The sequence below is a fragment of the Homo sapiens genome, chromosome 5, assembly GCF_000001405.40.
Source record: "Homo sapiens chromosome 5, GRCh38.p14 Primary Assembly".
Taxonomy (NCBI): domain Eukaryota; kingdom Metazoa; phylum Chordata; class Mammalia; order Primates; family Hominidae; genus Homo; species Homo sapiens.
Window position 1 is genome coordinate 86,007,723 of NC_000005.10, and position 23,974 is coordinate 86,031,696.

A 23,974-nucleotide genomic window follows, 5' to 3' on the forward strand; every position below is an offset into this window, starting at 1 on the left:
GGTTTCATTTCAGTCTTTAATCCATCTTGAGTTGATTTTTGTATGTGGTTTAAGGAAGGGGTCCAGTTTCCATTTTCTGCATACGGCCAGCCAGTTCTCCCAGCATCATTTATTAAATAAGGAATCCTTTCTCCATTGCTTGTTTTTGTCAGGTTTGTCAAAGATCAGATGGTGGTAGGTGTGCAGTCTTATTTCTGGGTTCTATATTCAGTCCCATTTGCCTATGTGTCTGTTCTTGTATCAGTATTGTGTTGTTTTGGTTACTGTAGCCATGCAGTATAGTTTGAAGTTGGATAGTGCGATGCCCCCAGCTTTGTTCTTTGGCTTAGGATTGCCTTGGCTATTTGGGCTTTTTTTTTTTTTTTTTTTTTTTGGCTCCTATGAACTTAAAAATAGCCCTTTGCTAATTCTGTGAAGAATGTCAATGGTAGTTTAATGGGAATAGCATTAAATCTATAAACTGCTTTGGGCAGTATGGCCATTTTTATGATATTGATTCTTCCTATCCATTAATGTGGAATATTTTTCCATTTGTTTGTGTCATCTCGAATTTCTTTGAGTGGTGGTTTGTAGTTCTCCTTGAGATCCTTCACTTCCCCTGTTAGGTGTATCCTTAGGTATTTTATTCTTTTTGTGGCAATTGTGAATGGGATTGCGTTCTTGATTTGGCTCTTTGCTTGCCTGTTGTTGGTGTATCAGAATGCTAACAATTTTTGCACATTGCCTTTGTGTTCTGAGACTTTGCCAAGTTGCTTATCAGCTTAAGAAGCTTTTGGGCTGAGACGATGGTGTTTTCTAGATACAGGATTATGTCATCTGCACACAAAGATAGTTTGACTTCCTCTCTTCCTATTTGACTACTCTATTTCTTTCTGTTGCCTTATTGCCCTGGCCAGAAATTCCAATACTGTGCTGAATAGGAGCTATGAGAGAGGGCACCCTTGTCTCCTGTTGATTTTCAAGGGGAATGCTTCCAGCTTCACCCATTCAGTATGATATTGGCTGTGGGTCTTACTATTTTGAGGTATGTTCCTTCAATACCTACTTTATTAAGAGTTTTAACATGAACAAATGTTGACTTTTATCAAAGGCCTTTTCTCCAGCTATTTAGATAACTTTGTGGTTTTGTTTTTAGTTCTGTTTATGTAATGAATCACATTTATTGATTTGTGTATGTTGAATCAGCCTTGCATCCCAGAGATGAAGCCAGCTAGGTTGTGGTGGATAAGCTTTTTGATGAGCTGCTGGTTTCGGTTTGCCAATACTTTGTTTAGGATGTTTTGTTTGCTTTAATTTTTTTTTTTTCAGATAGTGTCTCACTCTGTTGCCTAGGCTGGAATGCAGTGGCATGATCTCAACTCACTGCAACCTCCGCCTCCCGAGTTCAAGTGATTCTTCTGCCTCGCCTTCCCAAGTAGCTGGGACTACAGGTGCCTGCTACCACGCCCAGTTAATTTCCTTATTTTTAGTAGAGATGGGATTCCATCATGTTGGCCAGGCTGGTCTCAAACTCCTGACCTCAGGTGGTCCACCCACCTCAGCCTCCCAAAGTGCTGGGATTACAGGCATGAACCACAGTGCCTGGCATTTGTTTAGGATTTTTGCACCAATGTTTATCAAAGGTATTGGTCAGAAGTTTTCTTTTTTGCTGTATCTCTGCCATGTTTTTGTGTCAGGATCATGCTGGCCTCGTAGAATGAGCTAGGGAGGAATCCTCCCTTTTCAATATTTTGAAATAGTTTCAGTAGGAATGGTACCAGCTTTTCTTTGTACCTCTGGTATTACTAAGCTGTAAATTTGTCTTGTCCTGGGCTTTTTTTTTTTTGCTAGACTATTTATTACTGCGTGTATTTCAGAGCTTATTATTTCTCTATTTAGGGATTCAGTTTCTTCTTGATTCAGACTTGTGAGGGTGTATGTGTTCAGGAATGTATCCATTTCTTTTAGATTTTCTAGTTTATGTGCATAGAGATGTTTATAGTATTCTCTGATGGTTGTATTTCTGGGGAGTCAATGTTAATATCCTCCTGATCATTTCTGATTGTGTTTATTTGAATCATCTCTCTTTTCTTCTCTATTAGTCTAGCTAATGATCTATTTTATTATTTTTTTCAAAAAATATACAGCTCCTGGATTTGTTGACATTTTGAAGGATTTGTCATGTCTCTGTCTCCTTAAGTTCAGCTCTGATCTTGGTCATTTCTTATTTTCTGCTAGCTGTAGGGTTTGTTTGCTGTTCGTTCTCTAGTTTTTTAGCTGTGAGGTTAGGTTACTAACTTTAGATCTTTCTAGCTTTTTGATGTGGGTATTTAGTGCTATAAATTTCCCTCTTAACGCTGCTTTAGCTGCATCCCAGAGATTCTGCTATGTTGTATCTTTCTTCTCATTAGTTTCAATAAACTTCTTGATTTCTTCCTCAATTTCATTATTTACCCAAAAGTAACTCAGGGAGAAGATTGCTGAATTTCCATGTAGCAGTATGGTTTTCAGTGAATTTCTTAATCTTGAGTTATAGTTTGATTGTGCTGTGGTCTGAGAGACTGCTATGTTTCATTTTTTTTTTTTTTGGATTTGCTGAGGAGTGTTTTACTTCTGATTATGTGATCAATTTTAGAGTAAGTGCCATGTGGCGATGAGAAGAATGTATATCCTGTTGTTTTGGGGTGAAGAGTTCTGTAGATATTTATCAGGTCCACCTGATCAAGAGCTGAGTTCAGGTCCTGAATATCTTTGTTAGTTTTCTGTCTTGGTGATCTATCTAATATTGTCAGGGGGATGTTAAAGTCTCCCACTATTATTGTGTGGAAGTCTAAGTGTCCTTGAAAGTCCCTAAGAATCTGCATTATGAATCTGGGTGTTCCTGTATTGGGTGCATATATATTTAGGATAGTTAGCTCTTCTTGCTGAATTGAACGCTTTACCATTATGTAATGTCTTTCTTTGTCTTTTTTTGGTCTTTGTTGGTTTAAAGTCTGTTTTGTCAGAAATTACGATTATAACCCATTTGTTTCTATTTTCCATTTGCTTGGTAAACTTTCCTCCATCCCTTTCCTTTCTGATGAAAATTTGCATTAAATGTCCCACCATTGAAATTAGGTTTATTAGAGATTAAATCTAGAATGCCATCTGCAAAAAAAAAAAAAAAGTTTTAAATTAGGTTACTTGTTTCACTAGATCCTCATACTCTATCATGCAAAGACAAAATATACTTTATTTTATGCTATTTATCTTGAATATCACCAATTTCATTAATAAGAATTTATGATACCGAATTAAAAAAACTACTCGTTTCACCAGTGATAGTTATTTAGGTTTGCCAGATTTAGCAAACAGATATACAAATAATGAAATATAAATTTCAAATAAACAATTTTTAAAGAATATATATATGGCTTGTGCATTAATTGGGAAAATAGTTACACAAAAGTAACACGTTATCTTTCTTAGCTGAAATTCAAATGTAATTGGTTGTCCTATATTTTATCTGGCAACCCTATACCTATTTCCAACATTCATTATGGCACTTACCAAAAGCTATATTATGGATCATTTACTCATGCAATAAATATTAATTAAGCACCTACTCTGAGTCATGCTCTGTTCTATAAATTGAAAATATAACTATCAATAAAAAGAATCTTTACTCATAGAAATTACACTCTAAGAGGAAAGACTAACAATTTTAAAAGTCTGCATGAATACCTTAAATACTATACTAAAGATGATTAGGGCCATTAAGAACAAAAAGCAAGAAAAGGGAATGAGAAAAGGAAGGCAAATAGTATATTAAAGGTGATAACAGGCAACAAAGGTGATAACAGCCATTAAGAACAAAAAGCAAGAAAAGGGAATACAAAAAGGAAGGTCAGTTGAAAATGTTTAAATGAGAAACCAAAAGACCTCCTTGTGTTTACATTTGAATAAAGACCCAGACAGAATGGGGTCTTGCAGACATTTTGGGGTAAAGCAGCGGGAACAGAAGAAACAGTAAGTGAAAGACCCTAAGGTAGACACCTGCTTCATCTGTTTTGGAGGAGCGACAGGAGGCCCTCTCAGGTTGGAGCCTCTCTGGTGAGAGCAGAAGGGAAGGGAGAAGAGTGATGGGTTGAGGTAGGCTATTTTGAAGAACCTTGTAGATTTACTTAAGGGCTTTGGTATTTAATCAGAGTACATTATAAAGCGTTAGAGGAACACAAATAGTTAAGTCATTTGATAGCTTTCTTTGAAGTGTAGCAATGCTAGCTGACCACCTTTGCTGGGAGAATTCTTGAAGAGGGTAACTAATTAGGATAATTGACCATGCGGAGTCTGTCACTGAAACTAATGTACATTTATATATCATGATGACTTAGCTAAATAGAATTAAATGGCACATATCTTAATAGTAAAAAGTCAAAATATAAAATCATTTTATTTGCTGACAAGTATTTTTATAGCCAGTAGTAGCAAATGTACTACTATATAATACTAGCTACCATCTTTTTGCATGCCATTTGAATGTTCTATCCTCTCTTAAAAATAATTTTTGGGTCTAGTGAAGCCTTAATCCCAGCACTTTGGGAGGCCAAAAAAGGAGGATTGCCTGAGCCTAGGAGTTCAAGCCCAGCCTGGGCAAAACAGGGAGACCCCCTTCTCTACAAAAAAATAAAAAAAAAAATTTGGGCATGGTGGTACATCCATGTAGTCCCAGCTACTCCAGAGGCTGAGGTAGGAGGATTGCTGGGGTCTGGGAAGTCTAGGCTGCAGTGAGCTGTGATCACACCATTGCATCCCAGCATGGGTGATAGAGATCCAGTCTCAAAAATAAAAATAATAATAATACACAAAACTTTGGAAAAGCAATCTATGAGGGCTTGGAAAAACAATTCATCCAAACCTACCAAATTGTTTTGGTACATTTTTGTCAATTTTCATTTCCTTGAATTTTATGCTTTTTTAAAAATTACAGTGATCCAAATTAATTTAGTGGAAGCAAAAAGATTGATCAGATAATTAAGTAAACATTTTTGGAACCCTTGTACACAGTTGGGGGGAATTCAAAATGGTGTAGCTGTTATGAAAAAAACATGGAGATGCCTCTAAAGCTTAAAAATAGAACCACTATATGATCCAGCAATCCCACTTCTCAGTATTTATTCAGAAGAATTGAAATCAGGATCTCAAAAATATATTAGCATTTCCATGTACATTGCAGCAGTACTCTCTGTAATAGTAATTTTGGTTGTTGTGGAAACAAGCTAAATGTGCATCAAAAGAGGAATGGACAAAACAAAATGTGGTATATACATACAATGGAATATCATTCAACTTAAAAAAAAAAAGAAAATCCTACATTATGAGCCAATATGGATAAAGCCGGAAAACATTATACTAAATGAAATAAGCCAATCATGCAAGGACAAATACTACACCATTGCATTTACATGAAGTAACAAATATAACCAAACTCACCTAAGCAAAAAGTAAAATGGGAGTTGTCAGAAGTCTGGGGGAAGGGCAAATGGAGAGTTACTAATTAACAGATATAAAGTTTCAGGTATTCATGATGAGTAAGTTCTAGAGATCTGCTGTACAATATTGTGCCTGTAGATAACAATATTGTATTGTATGCTAAGTAATCCGTTAAGAGAGTGGCTCTGATGTTGTGCTTTTACCACAATAGATATAAAACAAAAAGTATAATAAATTAGCTCCTGACTATTCATGAACTTGTCTTGTATATATACAGTATTTGGCTTTATTATTTGTGCTTTGAATAAATAACATTTTATCACATTAGTAAAATGGTTTAGGGTTGTTTAATTAGAATGCAGAAATAGTGATATGAATTAATCTAATTTTTATTCTTGATTATAAATCTACTTATATTTAAAATTTAGAGATGATGAATCTTTTCTTTTATTCATTTCTTGATTAATTCTTTTACTCAAATGAATGAGATACTTCTTAATTTTTTGAAGTTTTGTGCGTACATAATAGCTGTATATATCTATGGGATACATGAGCTATTTTGATACAGGAATGCATGTGTAATAATTACATCTCAAAAGTGAAGTGTGCACTCCATCAAGCATTTCTCCTTTGTATTACAAACAATCCAATTATACTCCTAGTAATTTTATAATGTACATGTAAATTATTTTGACTATAGTTGCCCTTGTTGTGCTGTCAAATACTATGTATCGTTCATTCTTTCTATTCTTTTGGGTACCTATTAACTGTCCCCACTTACCCCCTAGCCCCCACTGCCCTTTCAAGCCTTAAATAACCATTCTTTTACTCTCTATCTCCATGTGTTTGATTGTTATAAATTTTACATCCCACAAATAAGTGAAAACATGAGATATTTGTCTTTCTCTGCCTGGCTTATTTTACATAACATAATAACCTTGGTTCCATCCATATTGTTGCAAATGACAGGATCTCATTCATTTTTATGGCAGAATAGTACTCAATTGTTTGTAAGTGCCATATTTTCTTTATCCATTTATCTGTTGATGGACACTTAGGTTACTTCCAAATCTTGGCTATTGTGAACAGTGCTGAAGCTAACATGGGAGTCAACATCTCTTCAATATACTGATTTCCTTTCTTTTGGGTATATACCCAGCAGTGGGATTGCTAAATTATCTTGTAAGTCTATTTTTAGTTTTCTGAGGAATCTTCAAACTGTTTTCCATTGTGGTTGTACTAATTAACATTCCCACCAACAGTGTACAAGGGCCCCTTTCCTCCACATCCTCTGCAGCCTTTGTTATTGCCTGACTTTTGGATATAAGTCATTTTAACTGGGGTAAGATGATATCTCATTGTAGTTTTGATTTGCCTCCTCATATGATCAATGATATTGAGCACTTTTTCATGTGCCTGTTTTCCAATTGTGTGTCTTCTTTGAAGAAATGTCTATTCACACATGTGACACTATTCACAATAGAAAAGACATGGAGTCAATCTAAATGCCCATCAATAACAGACTTGATGTATTGGAGATGCATTTTATGTTATATGTTTCTTTTCTCTTGTTGTTTTAGGATTCGTTCTTTATTCTTCACCTTTGGAGTTTGATTATTAGATGCCTTAAGGTAGTCTTCTTTGAAATAAATCTGCTTGGTGTTCTATAACCTTGTACTTGAATGTTGATACATTTATCTAGGTTTGAGAAGTTCTCTGACATTTTCTCTTTGAATAAACTTTCTACCCTTATCTCTTCCTCTACTTTTAGTAGATAAATAACTCTTGTAGTAGATAAATAACTCTTTAGTTATTTTAGTAAATAGTAGTAGATAAATAACTCTTTAATGCCAGTAACTCTTGGATTTGCCCTTTTGAGGCTATCTTCCAGATGTGACAGGCGTGCTTCATTATTTTTTATTTTTTTCTGTTATCTCCTCTATTTATTTTCATATAGCCTACCTTCAAGCTCATTTATTATTTTTCCTGCTTGATCATTTCTGCTATTGACTCTGATAAATTCTTCAGCATGCCAATTGCATTTTTTGACTCTGGAATCTGCTTGAGTCTTTAAAATTATTTCAATCTCTTTGCTAACTTTGTATGACAGAATTCCTATTTAATTTCTCTGTTATTTTGAATTTCTCTGAGTTTCCTCCAGCTATTTTGAATTTTCTGTCTTGAAGGCCATATTTCTCTATTTCTCTAGGATTGGTCCCTGGTGACTTTCTCTGTTTCATTTGGTGAAGTCATGATTGCCTGGATGATCTTGATGCTTGTAGATGTTCATCTGTGTCTGGACACTGAAAAGTTAGGTGCTTATCTTATTCTTCACCATCTGGGCTTGTGTGTGCCTGTCCTTCTTGATAAGTCTTTCCAGGCACTTGAAGAGACTTGGGCACCAAGCCCAAGACCACTGTCATTTTTGCAGACTTGTATAGGTACTTAGTGCTTCTGTGGTCCTGAATAAGATCCAGAATTCTCTGGATTACCAAGAAGAGATTCTTGTTCTTTTCCCTGACTTTCTCCCAAACAAGCAAAGTCTGTCTGTGCTGAGCTTCCTGGAGTTGGAGGTGTGGTAATGCAAGCACTCCTGTGACCACCAGCACTGTGACTGCACTGGCTCAGACCTGAAGCCAGCAGAGCCCTGTTTCTTCCCAAAGCCTGCTGTAACCACTCCCTGGCTACCATCTATGTTCACTCAAGGGTCTAGGGCTTTACAGTCAGCAGGTGGTAAAGCCAGCCAAGTTTGTCACCTTCTCTTCTGGGTGGCAAGATCCCCCAGGCTGCAGGAAGGTCCGGTGATGCTGCCTGAGAGCCAGGTTTTATAGTCAAAAATCTTAGAAACTTGCCTGATGTTGTTTTCTACTTCAGCTAAGCTGGCACTCAAACCAAAATATAAAGTCATTCCTGCTTTTCCCTCCCCTTTCCACAGGAAGAGGAGCCTCCTCCACCACCAGCCAAGGGCTGGGGGAGGAGGTGGTTCTGCCAGGCCATTGTTGATGTTCATTTATAGCCCATAGTCTCTTCAGTCAGCTTGTGGTGAATTCTGCCAAGCCTAAGACTTGTCCTTCAGGGCAATGAGCTCCCCTCTGGCCTAAGGCAGGTCTAGAAATGCTGTCCAAGAGCCTGGGCCTGGACTTGGGGACCCAAAGAGCCTGCTTAGTGCTCTACCCCAGTGGCCTTGCTGGTACGTAAGATGCAAAACAAAGTCCCTTTTACTTTTTCTTCTGCTTTTCTCAAACAGGAGTCTTTCACCACAGCCGCCATGGCTAGGAATATGCTGGGTCACACCTGTTGGCAGCACATCTCAGAGCCCAAGGCCCATGACTTACTACCTGGGTATCAGTGGTGGTTACTGAGGGCCCAAGGGCTATTTAGTCAGTAGGTGATGACTCCTTCCCTTCAAGGCAATAGGTTCTCTTTTGGCCCAAGGTGTGTCTAGAAATGTTGTCTGTTAACTAGTCATGGCAGCCCCACAACACTGCCCAGTCCCCTACTCTACTGTGTCTGATCCGGTATCCAAGATGCAAGACAAAATCCTCTTTAGTCTTCGCTCTCCTCTTCTTAAGCAGAAGGGAGGAGACACTTTCATTGCTCTGAGCTGCACTGCCTGGGTTTGGAGGAGGAGTGACTGAAGCACTCCATTAGATGCCCTGACTGGTGTCACCATAGATCATGTGCCACCCTAGTTCTCTGGCTCTGACTCCAGCCCAGCAATAGGAGTTGCCTAGGAATTGTAGTTCTTGTGTCCTAGATTGTCTTTCAAGTTTACCTCAGACCCCAGAGCATTTTGACTCACTGTGGCGAGGATTGCTGAGATTCTCAAGCTCCAAAACATGGGATGGGCAATCCTGTCTGACTAGATCTGATCTAAATGTTCCCTCTGTGTATGGGCACTGACTGAACCCAATAAGGCTTTACTCTCCGCTATGGCAGCACTGAGTTCAATATGATGTCCTCCAGTCACTGTACTCTCCATCTCTCAAGTGCACAGATTCTCTCTTCATGCTGCACAGCTGCTGCCAGGGGGTGTGGGAGAGGTGGCATTGGCAGTTCAAGACATTTTCTCCCACCATCCTCAATGCCTCTTTCAATGATATGAAGTTAGAACAAGGTACTGTGATTGCTCATCTGATTTTTAGTTCTTATACTGGTGCTTTCCTGTGTGCAGGTTGTTGTTAAAATGTGATGTTCCTGTGGGGGTTTGGGAGGAAAGAATGATGTAGGCTTTTATTCAGCCATCTTGCTCTGCCCTTGAGATACATTTTGGGAGGGAAACTGAAATGAATAAGAAACGTCTCTAGAGTTATGTTTTTTTATTGCATTTCTTGCCATATTGTGGGTCATAAAACTCACTGCCACCAGGATTATGTTTTTATTAAAATAAACATGTAATAGAATGTAACAGAATAGGTTAAAATAAAATTCAATGTATAAGAGAATATTGTACATAAAATGAGTATGGCTTCAGGGAATGTTCGATACATGATGTAGGATTGTGGTTTCTGTTTGCAAAGTACACGTAAGTGTTTAACTGTGGACACAAAACAAAACTTTAGAAAATAGTTATCTCAATACTATCTGATATTTGTATAGGCATATTTATTGTAAAATCAATAATTTAAGAAGTTATAGGCAAATTGTTATAGATGAATCTTCATGGGAAAGATGACAGAAAACAATATATAATACATATCTGGACCTTGATTATGAGGTTAAAAGATAAATATGGCAGGAAAGTGGGGATTAGGCAGAAAGAACACTGAAAAAATATAAAGCATAAAATGTGGAAAATATAATGAATGCTCGCACAATAGTGAGGCCTTATTTAAGAATACAGCTTGATGTATTTTATATTTATATACCAATGTAAAATAAGAGGTAAATATATAAAACATTTCCATAACCAGGCAGTTTTCTGTGCCCACTTCTAATTTTCCTTACCAACGTTTTTTGACTTATTTCACTGTAAATTCCATATATTCTGGAACTTCATATACATATAATCAATCCTACAGTGTGTTTTCTATGCCTGACTTCTTTTCAGCAACATTGTGTTTTTAAGATTCTTCCACATTGCTGACTGCATCAGGAGTTTGTTCATTTTTTTATTCCTAAGTAGTGTTCTATTTTATAAATTATTCTTTTCTTGGATATTTGCATTTGTGTGTGTGTGTGTGTCTGATTACTACGGAGGTTAAAATATGCAATATTAATTTATCAAAATTTAAATTTACTTAAATTATACTTCTTCAAAATGAAAATCATAACTTTATAATACTGTGCTTTCATTCAACTTTTCTTCCACTGTTTGTGATATTTTCTCATATATTATACTTTTAAATTATTAACCACACAATACATTGTTATTCATTTTGTCCACACTTTTACTCTCTTCAAGGATCTTTTTCTTTTTTTATAGAAATGTAAATTCATACTTTAATTTGGTTTTGTTCTACTTTAACCTGAAGAACTTCAACAATTCTTGTACAAGTATACAGGTTTTGTCTGCCTATGTCTTTATTTTCTTTAAGTGCTTTTTCTTTGTATTGGGAATCTAGCCTATAATTTTTTTTCTTATGCTTTTTTCTTTTCCATATTTTAATGATGCTTTTATCACCTCCTAGCTTTCAATGTTTCTAATGAAAATTTGACATTATTCTTATTATTATGTGTCTGATTGTAATATTTATTGTTTCTAGCTGCTTTGAAGGTTTCTCTGATTATCTTTGCATTTCAGCAGATTTTACTGAAATGTTATGCTTTTCTTGGGTGTCGCGGTCTTGGATCTGTGGGTAAATACTATTCACTAATTTCAGAAAATATTCAGACATTGTAATTTTAAATGCTTTTTCTTCTCTTTTTCTAGAAATCCATTTCCATATATGTTAGATATCTTGAACATCTTTTCATATGACTTAGAGTCTCCATTCTTTTTCTAAAAATGTCTGTTCTTCAATTTAGCTAATTTATATTAACCTACTGATGAATCACTTATCTTTTCTTCTTTTTTATCTGTTGTTACACCCATCTAATATTTTTAAGATCAAATATTGCAGAATTTTAGTTCTAGAATTTTTATTCGGTTCATTTATTAAAGCTTTTGTTTTTATGCTGAAATTCTGTACATATTCTTTTATTCAGTAGCTTAATTTTTCCTGTAAGTTCTGCCATTCTCTGGGTAATCTGGACAATTTTTGTGTCATCTTTTATTGTCAGTTTTTTTATTTGACTATAGTCCACACTTTCCTGCTAATTCATAGTCACACACATGCACGCATGCACACACACACACACATCTGTGTAAGATGCCAGGCACTTTGCATAAAATAACAGTTGAGAATAGTATATTTTCTCATGAAAGGCTTTGCTCTTTTTTTCCCCAGATGGCTAGAGTGAGGGTTTGTTCTCTTTAATAAAACTAAGAATTGAATTGAGCCAGAGCTGAAATGCAACTTTTTAAAGTGTCAGTTCTATACTGAGATCCTGCATCTCAGGGTGGGATAAGGACACTTGTACTATCAGTATTTGGGACCTAGCCATCCTAAGAAGACAGGAGCCCTTCCAACTTCCCTGCTCAGCACCAATGCACAATTAGTAAAATCTCATGGGGGTGATTTGGTGAACTTTAAGATCTAGCTTTTGTTTAGGATACTCTCTCTAACAGAGTGTCCTTCTCTACTTATTCCTTTGTTTCTTCTATGGGAGATTAGCTTCTTCATCCACCTCTGTCACCACGAATAAAAATAGGCTAGGCTCTGCTCACCTAAGAAATGCTCAAAGCACTTGTCTTTTAGATTTCTTTTTCTTTAGCTCTCTGATAGGTTTTATTAAAGTTCTGATTGCATGAATTACATGGTATTCTTTCATTGTAATAGTAGGATAGTTGGTTTTTCACATATGCATCCTAACCAGAAGCAAAGTTGAGTATTTTTATTTTTTTCTGAAATGTATGTGCGGTTTGAGAGAAAGGTGGAGGAAAAAAGATTTCGAAGTCACTTGATGGGTGCATACAAATCTTGATGAGATTGCTAGTTCCCTAGATTTTATTATATGGACAAAAGCAATAATCCAAATATTTTAAGTTACTCTAGTAGAAATATACATTAATATTCATATGAAAAGATACAGAAGCCAATTAAAGGATAGTTATATAGGAAAACTTTTAAAGAGAGTAATTTGTGTATTTTCTAATGTATTTGCCTTACTCACCTCTTGCAGTAATTCTAATATGATTAAATCTGTTAAGTCCAATATTAATGTAAAGTTTGTACTTACAAACTTTATTTATAAACATTTACATAAAACTTTACATATAAATCATTTTACGTGTCACTACGTAGCAGTAGAGAGCGTAGGAAAAAACAAAATTTACTTGTGATATTTATTTGTCTTATTTCACAAACCACAGATTTGTGAAGCAGGCTTACTGTGCACTGGTTACCAATCTGTCTGAGTCCAGTGATACAGAACATACTCATATATAACAAGTTAGAAGAAGTGGATTTATTGCTTACAGTTAGGCAGCAATAAAAGGAGTCTAGAATCCATAGTGAGTTGGTCCTCCATAGATCCAAAAGCTGTCCTAGGTAGATGAAGCCTTGATTGCATGTGCCCCACTTGCACCATAGATAAAGGACCCCCAAAGGCCTGGGGCCACCTGGGGGCCATGAGAATTAGTGGGCAAAGCCTTGATAAATATCCTGCTTCCAGGGGAGAGAGGAACGAAACTCAGGCTGTCCTGGGCAGTTCCTTCCTAACTCAACATGCCATGTTTCCTTGAAGGAACAATAACAAGGTATGAGCTGTTTTAAGCAGTTCTACCCTATCTCAGAATAATGAATTCTCAGCACATTCTAGAGTTATTTGAGAACCATGAACAAGAAATGGGGGAAAACTAGGTGGGTCCACCGCCACCCAGAGAACTGTTCTGCAGTATTATGTACAGAGATAATATTTTCTGAGCTAATCGCTAATTGTTTACAAAGGAAGGTAAATTATTTAATGGCTAATTTGTGCTTCTTGCTAGTATTTCTTGGATCAATATTTTAATTATTTATTTAACAATGTACAAGGACAGTCTAGAAGTAACTAAAAATCAGTAACTCTTTTTTCGACTTCTCCAAAGTTTACCTATTATCTTTTCTCCCATTTCAGAAAACTGTATGTTCTTTTTTTACTTGCCTGATGAATTTACCCAGTGGAAAAAAATATGTTATTTGGAAAGCTATTACTATCAGCCATTTATATCTTTCTGAAAATCAAAATCCATATTTTGTTAATAGGGCTATTTACATTTTGTTTCTACTTAAAACAAGGGTTAGAAATTGTTTTCTTTTAAAATAAAATTACAATACATTTGTGATGGTTCTGCTCTGAGAAATATCCATGGTATCCACAGACTACCTTGTGGATTAAGTCATTCGTCTTACTCAATATTTTCTATGCTGTTGACATGGAGTTAAAATGAACTCCAAAGAAAGTCTATGTGAATGTTTGTGAAAGTTTTGCGTCTTTTGCTCATGGCAAAAACCAGGAATAATTTGTTTAAAATATGTGTGTAGGGGACTATATATTTTGCAGAAGGCGTGAATATCATATTGCCAGCACCAACGTTCAAGAAATACATAATTTTGTTTTCATCATGGTAGTGAGAAATTTAAGCTCAGCTATTGATATTTCTTCCGTTTTTCTAATAATCACTTGAGTTGAAATGAAGGTCGCAATGTTCTGATAAAATGCAAACTATTGGCATAAGGTTTATACTATAAAGCCACACTACTGAATTAATGCACGTTTTATAACCTTCTGTGGTCACTAAAGAGGGTGTCTCTGTTCTTTTTTAATCAAGCTCGAGTACAGACTTTTTTAATGAAGCTTTTAACCCCAATGCCAGGGTTGTCTGGGTACAGCCATGCTGCTCTAACGCATTTCAACAACTCAGAAAACTTTAAGACTTGCTTTTTCACGTTCTTAGCTGAGTGTGTTTATTGGTCAAGTTTTTAATGATGACAAAGTACAATTTATATATATTTTTCTTTTGTTTTATCTTTTTGTGTCCTGCCTAAAATATCTTGGCATGCTAGAAAGTAGTAGAGATATTTAGGTTTATTCTTCATAAATTATTATTTTCATATTGTCAGATTTTTTTGTTCCTCTTGAATTTTACTAAATGTGTGCAAAAATTATTGACTGTATATGAGTGGTTTTATTTCTGGATTTGCTATTTTGTTCCATTTATTTATTTGTTTTTTATGATTATATCATACAGCCTTAATAATTTTTGAGCCTTGCAACCATGTAGTGTTATGTATGCTAATTCTGTACTTTTTTGAAAAATGTTTTAGTTATTCTGTATCCTTTGCATTTTTGTATAAATTTTAGTATACGCTTGATAATTTCAAGGAAATGATTGATTGGATTTTAACTGGTATTGCTTTTTAATCTTTAGATTAATTTGGAAATAATTGACATCTTAGTAATTTTGAGTGTTCCATTATATCATCCCACTCTTTGATTCCTCTTAGTAAGTGTTTTATAATTTTAATTATATTTACTGCTAAACTCAGCTTACTAAAATTTTTTGGAGGGGACTTTTTTTCTTATTTATTTATTATATTACTTTAAGTTCTGGGGTACATGTGCAGAACATGCAGTTTTGTTACATAGACATACACGTCCCATGGTGGTTTGCTGCACCCATCAACCCATCATCTACATTAGGTATTTCTTCTAATGCTATCCCTCTCCTAGCTCCCCAACCCTCAACAGGCCCTAGTGTGTGATGTTCCCCTCCCTGTGTCCATGTGCTCTCATTGTTCAACTCCCACGCATGAGTGAGAACATGCGGTGCTTGGTTTTCTGTTCTTGTGATAGTTAGCTGAGAATGATGGTTTCCAGCTTCATCCATGTCCCTGCAGAAGCCATGAACTCATTATTTATTTATTTATTTATTCATTTTTTGAGACGGAGTCTCGTTCTGTCGCCCAGGCTGGAGTGCAGTGGCACGATCTCGGCTCATTGCAAGCTCTGCCTCCCGGCTTCGCGCCATTCTCCTGCCCTAGCCTCCCGAGTAGCTGGGACTACAGGCGCCCGCCACTGTGCCTGCCTAATTTTTTGTATTTTTAGTACAGACGGGGTTTCACCGTGTTAGCCAGGGTGGTCTGGATCTCCTGACCTCGTGATCCGCCCCGCTTGGCCTCCCAAAGTGCTGGGATTACAGGCTTGAGCCACCTCGTCCTGCGGAATGCATCCTTTTTTATGGCTGCATAGTATTCCCTGGTGTATATGAGCCACATTTTCTTTATCCAGTCTATCATTGATGCGCATTTGGGTTGGTTCTAAGTCTTTGCTATTGTGAATAGTGCCCCAATAAACATACATGTGCATGTGTCTTTATAGTAGAATGATTTATAATCCTTTGGGTATATACCCAGCAATGGAATTGTTGGGTCACATGGTATTTCTGGTTCTAGATCCTTGAGGAATTGCCACACTGTCTTCTACAATGGTTGAACAAATTTACACTCCCACCAACAGTGTAAAAGCGTTTCTATTTCTCCACATCCTCTCCAGCATCCGTTGTTTCCTGACTTTTTAATGATCGCCATTCTAACTGGCATGAAATGGTATCTCCTTGTGGTGTTGATTTGCATTTCTCTAACGACCAATGTGATGAGCATTTTTTCATATGTTCGTTGGCCACATAAATGTCTTGTTTTGAGAAGTGTCTGTTCATATCCTTCACCTACTTTTTGATGGGGTTGTTTGTTTTCTTCTTGTAAATGTGTTTAAGTTCCTTGTAGATTCTGGATATTAGCCCTATGTCAGATAAATAAATTGCAAAATTTTTCTCCCATTCTGTAGGTTGCATGTTCACTCTGATGATAGTTTCTTTTGCTGCGCAGAAGCTCTTTAGTTTAGTTTTTCCTTCTGTTTGGTTTTTACTTCCTATTATGCCCCAATCTGACTACAACATCTAAGTCTACCCTTCTCAGCAGTTCCCTTTTGGGTCATTACCCATGGCACTAAAAAGAAATGAGTGACAATTTTTTCATTCTATTATACAAAAGAAGCCAGTATTGCTTAATATAGAAACCAATAATATATATACTACCAAACTCTATGTTAGGAACAAATAGTATATATAGTTTGTGTTTATCTGAATGTATTATATATGTATAAATATGTATATATAAATATCGTGTGTATATATAGTATATTTATGGGGTATATATACAGTGTGGAAATATATATATAGTATTTATATATAAAATATTTGTGTATGTGTGTATATATATATTGCATGTGTGTGTATATATCACAAGTTTAAGCAGTTACCCATCCATGGAGCATGATGTAGCATCTTTAGAGAAGAGTTATTGTTTTAAATGATATTCTTAAAAAAATCATTATGAACTTAGAACGAGATGGCCACCAAAATAAAGTATGAACATTAAAAATAAAATAAAATTACTATCTCTTATAAGATTAAAAATGTTGTCAAAATTCAATGAATTATTAAGGTACAATATTGCCTTCACTTTCCAATGAATAGATATACATTCTAAAAATGTGTTGGCTGTAAATTATTACTTTAAAATGTTACTCATGTATAAGAATTTTCACAATTCTAAACAGGAAGGGGTTAAAGAGAAGTTGGTTAAAAGGTAGAAAAATATTGTTAGATTGAAAGCATAAATTATAGTTAACAATAATTTATAGTATTTTTCAAAATTGCTAAAAAAAGAATTACAATGTTCCCAATATAAAGAAATGATAAATATTTGAGATATCATTGCACATTATATACATGTATCAAAATACTACTTATGCCCTCAAAATATGTACAATTATATAGCAATAGAAAAATTAAAAAGTCAATAAAATTATTTTTGATTTTCTAAAATTAAGATATCTGACCCACAAGGGTTTCTACTAAACTTGAAATATACATAAGAACATTGTCTCAAAATTTAACATTTTAATCTTCTCAAATTGTCCCATTCTCTTCCATATATTTTCTCAAATAAATAGAAGAGTTTAAATTCCCTTTCATTCATTTTTTATAATATCTCTTTGCTTTGGATGTTTTTAATCATGCCACTGGCTTTGTTTTTCTTCATATTGTATGAGGTCGTTGCTCATTTTTCCATATGGATGTCCAGGCTTTGTTGTTGTTGTTGTTCCTCATTGAATTTTAGTGAATGTAAAAAATTATTGACTCTATATGCGTGGTTTTATTTCTGGATTTGCTATTTTTGTTCAATTTATTTATTTGCTTTTTATTGTCATATCATACAACCTTAATGATCTTTGAGTCTTGCAACCAGGTGGTTGAAGTATACTTTGTACTTCTTTTTTGAAAATTGTTTTAGGTATTCTGGATCCTTTTCTTCACCCCTTGCAAGTACTTTACATTCAGAAAATACATGACTCCATCTCTCAACATTCAAACTTACACAGCTTTGACAGGGTCGTGATTAAAGAATGTAGATTCTCTTCATATGTTTTAACTCAATATTATAAAGAGAGCCTACCTTTGGTACTTACCACTTAAAGTGCATAAACTGAGAAAATAATAAAGCCAGCCAGCAATAATATATTATTCAATAAAAATAGTTTTGTATTTTCTTTATGAAACTGTGTTTTTTATACGATGGATGTTTTATGTTTTAAAAATAAACTATTTATAAATGTATCTCTTTTTCAAATAAAACAGTAGCCATTCTAAAATCTATTGCTTTGCAATCAAACCACCATGACCATTCACAAATAAAGAAATTATTTTATTTTGCAGCGATAAGTTACAGATCAGGAATATTTCAGTGTTCTAAGAGAATATTGTGCACTGTATTTAGGTTAAGGATGAATATATTCACTAAAAAACATTTTGTATTTGAAATTCTCAGGTATTCCTTTTTACGGTTTGAAAATAATGCTATAAAAGTCATATGAAGGAAATAATACTTTTATCGATAAGAATGTAAAAGATTAAGATTTATAAAAATGTATAGACTTTGACAAACTTCCCAAAGTGAAACAGGCAAACAAACTTATTTAAATCTTTTAAAAAATGCAGTCTCCATTTAGAATATATCAAACAGGCAACCTGAATACCTGAATCAATACTTCGATAAACTAAATATGTACTTCACTCAGAGGATCTCTATTTTATACAATTTTATTTTTTCTGAAAAGATGGGTTGTTTGTTGAGACTAATTTAATCAACTGATTGGTCATTATGTGGACAAAGTTTACCCTTATAATTAATAATTTACCAAATTATAGATTTGTTGCTGTCATCTTCATTTCAATGATTTCCTAAAGTTAGTATAGGCCTTTGAATATTGACAAAAATAAAGGAAGAATACTCTTTAAAATATAGTTTCTGTGCAAAACTATTTATGCTAATTTGGTTTTCTATCATTTAACACTTGTAAAGAACATTTCTTTACATGTAATGACTACACATTTATTATTTTATGTTACTTTATCCCAAAACAGACAATATATCTAGGATCTTACAAAACTATCTTTACCTTCTACCAAAGCTATTAGGCCTGCTGGAATCAGGTCATTACTATTCTTGATTATGTAAAAATATATATAGGAAATTCATGTTTAAAACTATTCTCTCTTTGGCTTCAAATAGACACTACCTATTGGAATTAAGATACTAGGCAAAATATTTTGTGAAGGCTTCAGATATAATTGACAGTAAAGAGAAAACTAATGAAGAAAAGATATGATAACTAAGATAAACATCATAATAATGAAACAGCCAATTAATAATAGTTGAAAACAAACATAAATTCTGGTGAAAACATTCAAAATAAGAGGTATCTGGGAGGGAAAATATGATAACCAAAAGAGAAAATTAAAAAAATGAAAGAACAGAGTGATCATACTCTGCAAGAAAAAACATAAAAAGGAGAGAAAGTATATCAGACTCTTAGATTGTATTAAATTGAAATGTTACTGTAACTAATCTAGATTGATGTCTTCCCATTCAGTTATTTCTGTACAGTGAACAGGATGATAGTCTTCTTCATCTCAAGGTAATAGGATCATATAGTCATCATTTTTGTTTTAATTACTCAAGAATAATTTTAGTTATTTTTGGTATATATTAAGTTTGTAAATATTTTAAGTATATTAAAGTTTCATTTAAAGAACATAATGGTCTACCACAGAAGAGTCATGCATGGATATTTGAAAAAATAAATTTAATGATAAATGTATACATATAGTTGATAATATAATTTGTAAAATCTTGTTCTCTTTGCAAAATTTATTTATGGAATTTACATAAGTCGCATAGTATATAACACATACAACTTGGTATATCTCAAGCACGAAAACAGAATATTTTCTTTCTTACAGAGGTATTTTTCCTCATGAGAAGCTACTTTACTGTGAATTTGAATAAAAATTATTTAATGTATAATGATCATTGAAATTTGTTGCATTATAAAGAGTAGGTAATGCACGTACTATTTTGCATTTATATTTATGTTAGTGTTCTAGAGTTTGTATTTATATTTAATATTCTAAAATATGTATTCATGTGTAATCTGGAAAATAAAAAATTTCACTCATATTTTCTTGGTATTGCCATCTTTTTCAAATTGGAAAGAATTGCAAAACATGCCATCGAGGAATCTAGAATTAAATATGTAGATTTTCTTTTTTCCTTTGTTTTAAACCAAAACACATTTAAATACACACCGTTTCACCATTTGAACCAGATTTTGGCTCTAATTATATGCTAAGGACTGGGAGATGGCTATAATGTTGGAGAATTATAGATGATATACTTCCATGCCTTAAAACTGCTGTAAATTATTAGCAAGAACTAATCTGGAAATGGTTGAAGCAAATCCAAATTTTTCTATTTCTATTAGTCTTCTTTAGGAATCCATTACTTTAACACCTTCAGAAGACCAGTTTTGTATAAAATATTTTGAGGCTTCTATTCAGACATTTAAAAAACTAAGTCCACTTACCTTTTCTGATTATTAAATTCATATATGCTCTTTGTAAATCACAGAAAACTGTAAACAAGGAAATAATAGATTATCTTCCTATCACCCAAATATTAATCATAATTAATGATAGATTTTGCTGTTATTACCTCCCAGTCTTTACACACACACACACACACACACACAAACCACTTAGCCATTTATATACACGTTATAAAAGGAATCCCTATGCATTTATATATGAATTGTAAAAGTAGACCAAATGAGCTACTTTTTTAAAAATTGAGATTATTCTGTATTTATATTTTATATTTAATTATATTCTAAAAATTTTACTATGCCAATAAAATCTTTGAAGAAAATTGTCATTATTGTGCACATATTATCCATAATGTAGATAATAATTTAAACATTTTCTTCTAATTTAATGTTGTTAACTTCAATTTTTCAACATAATAAATAATAAATAAACATTATATATGTAGTCAGAAACATTTTATATTGTTAGTGATTCAAATGTATTGTTTTTTAAAAATTATGACATACTGACATATTCATTTTCAGTGGGTGATATAATTTTTTTCTTATCCCTTGAGAACTTGATACTATGAGTGTTTTGATATTAGTTTGGTAGATGGAAATATTATTTAATATGGGACATATGCATGTACACATACAAACGTGTGTACACACATATGTATATATATTTACTTTTAATAAGAACATTTTTATATTTATTTCTTAGAAACTTGTATGAAGGCCATTTTCTTAGGTTTCTAATAAGTTGCTAATTAGGTTAAGTTTTATAAATATAGAGTGGACCTGGGCACCTGTGATCACTTAATACTGTTCAGAACTCTATGTAGGTGATCAATGAATTTTCAGTCTTTTCAAAACTGTAGAATAATTGTTCACCTATTAATGACCTAAAGTTTTAGACTTCTATTTTGTTTACAACCTGAAGAAATGAAACTCTCAGCAGAATTTTTAAGGAAATAGATTTAAACTGGTTATAAAGAAGAATAGTAGTTTTCCCCATTTTGATGCCTAATCAGTGTTACCAAATATATATGCCCTAAACTGAATTCTTGATTATTCAGTCCTTCAAATGTTTTTCTCTGCATTTTTTCTCTCTCAATGGCAACTCTATCTGATCATTTATTAGTCAAATAATAATAATTTATTGCAAATAAATTATTAGGCAAATAATTCAAAAGCCCCCCTTTTTCATATCTCATACTAACTTACATGAAAATACACCTTAGAGGACTATCCAGAATTTGACCCTTTTGCCCTTCTTACAATTATCACCATTTCCCACACCCCTCTAATCTCTTGACAGGACCATTGCAATAACCTCTTATCTGGTTTCCCAGCTGTGGCCCTTGGAGACTATTTTTAATAGCCAGCCAATGTGACATTTCTAAAATGGAACACTAAATTATGTCATTTTATGGAAAAGATCTCAGTAGCTCCTTATAGAAATAAGGAGTATACATATACCCAGAGTATATGTAAAGTTTTCCTAATGTTCGGGAAGAAAAAATATGTGATTACATAAATATCTGAAATAATTTCCATGTGGAGTATCATAAGAAACTTTCGTGTGGATAAAAAATCATTGAAGGGTAGAATCATTCACTTGTTCAACTAACTTTCTTTGTGTTTGCATGTTTAGACCAGAAATTTGCAAGATGAAAGATATACAATAAATCTTATGCAAAATGTAATGAGTCTTCATTTTCCAAGCAATAATTGTATAGCATGGAAATAGAAGCAGCGAATGTCAATGGGAATCAGCTCTGTAAAGGGAGAACATAGTTTCCAGGAGTGGACCACTACACTAAAGGACAGAGTGACCTGGGAAAATTCGTGTGATTAAAACTCCAAATGATAAGTGGAAATTAAAAAATTTAATGTGTTCAGAAAAAAAAATACTATACATAAGTATTAGCTTAAGAAGTTTCCCAGGATAGGTCTCACAAGACAGCTGTATGGTCAGGTCATTTTGGATGTGGCACTATCTGCCAGTTCAGGAGATGCAGATGGAAAGCAATAGGCAACTTTTGAAGTAACATAGGTATGATGTGGCTGGATAAGAAAAAAAAATGGTCTTGTTCCCAAAATCTGTTGGCTTTTGTGGTTCATATTAATTCATTAATAAAGATGGGAATTTGGATTGTGTTAATTTAGAAATTTAGGTTATTTTCAAGATGTTAGCACTATCTCAGCCTATGAAATCTTGTGTCTATCTTGATCTTGCTATAACAATCACTTACGTCTCTTACTCATTATATGATGCACAACTAGTGAAGGGGAAATATATTGAAATTTACTGAAGAGGCAAATTTTGATCATACTGTATTTCTTTGTTCATTTTTAAGCTCCTTAAGCCCATTAGTTCATTTTTAAATAAAAAATTGTATCCTGGAAATTTAGTAAAGAAAGGCTAAAATGATTTTTAAAAAAAAGATTAAAAGTGGACGTTTGGTATTTCAAAGGACAGATGTGGCACAAATATAAAAATAATTTCTGCCACTTGGAATACTTATGAACTTTTAGCAAAACACCGTATCTTATACAGATATCTTTACCTTCATTGTCAAAAATCATTTTCCAAATCATTACCCCTACTGATGAGATCTATCCTATATTCCACAAACGACTGCAAGAAAACTCTTATTAAAGGGCCCCTGTGCCACAGACAGTAAGAACACATCTCTTTTCTGTAGAAAGTAAATCAGTTTAATCAGTAAAACTACCTCTCACTTTCTCCAACACATATTTTTTTCTGGCACTGTGCCAGGGACTTACCATAATAATTCTGTGCCATTTACACAAGGTAAGACTGTTATTATTAGCTCCGTTTTACAGATGAAAAAACTGGCTTAGGGAGATTAAGTATTTTACTGAAGCCCCCAGCCATTACAGAGTGAACGTGAAATCTGAACTCAGAACGTCTAGAAAATAAAGCCCATCCTCTCAGTGAACCCTACGTAATAGTGCCTCTTTCAAAGTGAGAACTTCTGGCAACTGCCCAACATAATGAGTGTATATATATTCTGTTTGTGTTGTATAGGTACAGATGAAATAACTATTTTCACCCCCCAAAATCTATGACTAATGCTAATCCTTTAGCAATAAACCTGGTATTGATCAGACAAAAGAAAAGAAAGTAAATATTTTAATCCATATAGACTTGTAACTTTATTTCTGTATGCTTATTGGTAGAAAAGTTGCCAAAGAGACATTTTCTTCTGAAAATGGAGACCAAAAAAAATATTTTCAAAATTAAGTTTAGAGAGGCATCTGGCCATATGCCAAACTATAGCCTGGGACCTACAGGTACGTGTTGGGTTTGTGAGGGTGAGGATGATAAAGAAAGGGAGAATAGAATAAGGCTTCTTTCTTTTTCTTTCTTTCTTTCTTTTTCTTTCTTCTTTCTCTCTCTCTCTTTCTCTCCTTTCTCTTTTTCTTCTTTCTTTCTCTATCTTTCTCTTTCTTTCTTTCTTTCTCTTTCTCTTTCTTTCCT

General features: G+C 33.9%; 1 long non-coding RNA gene across 1 annotated transcript; it reads right to left on the reverse strand.

Moving 5' to 3' along the window:
• Positions 1 to 1,543: 1,543 nt before the first annotated feature.
• LOC105379063 (uncharacterized) lies at positions 1,544 to 23,384 on the reverse strand. The gene is made up of 3 exons (XR_948533.3): positions 23,257 to 23,384; positions 20,464 to 20,511; positions 1,544 to 3,126 (listed from the first exon to the last, which is right to left on the reverse strand). It is a non-coding gene; the product is annotated as an uncharacterized LOC105379063 (long non-coding RNA).
• Between the last annotated feature and the right edge of the window lie 590 nt (positions 23,385 to 23,974).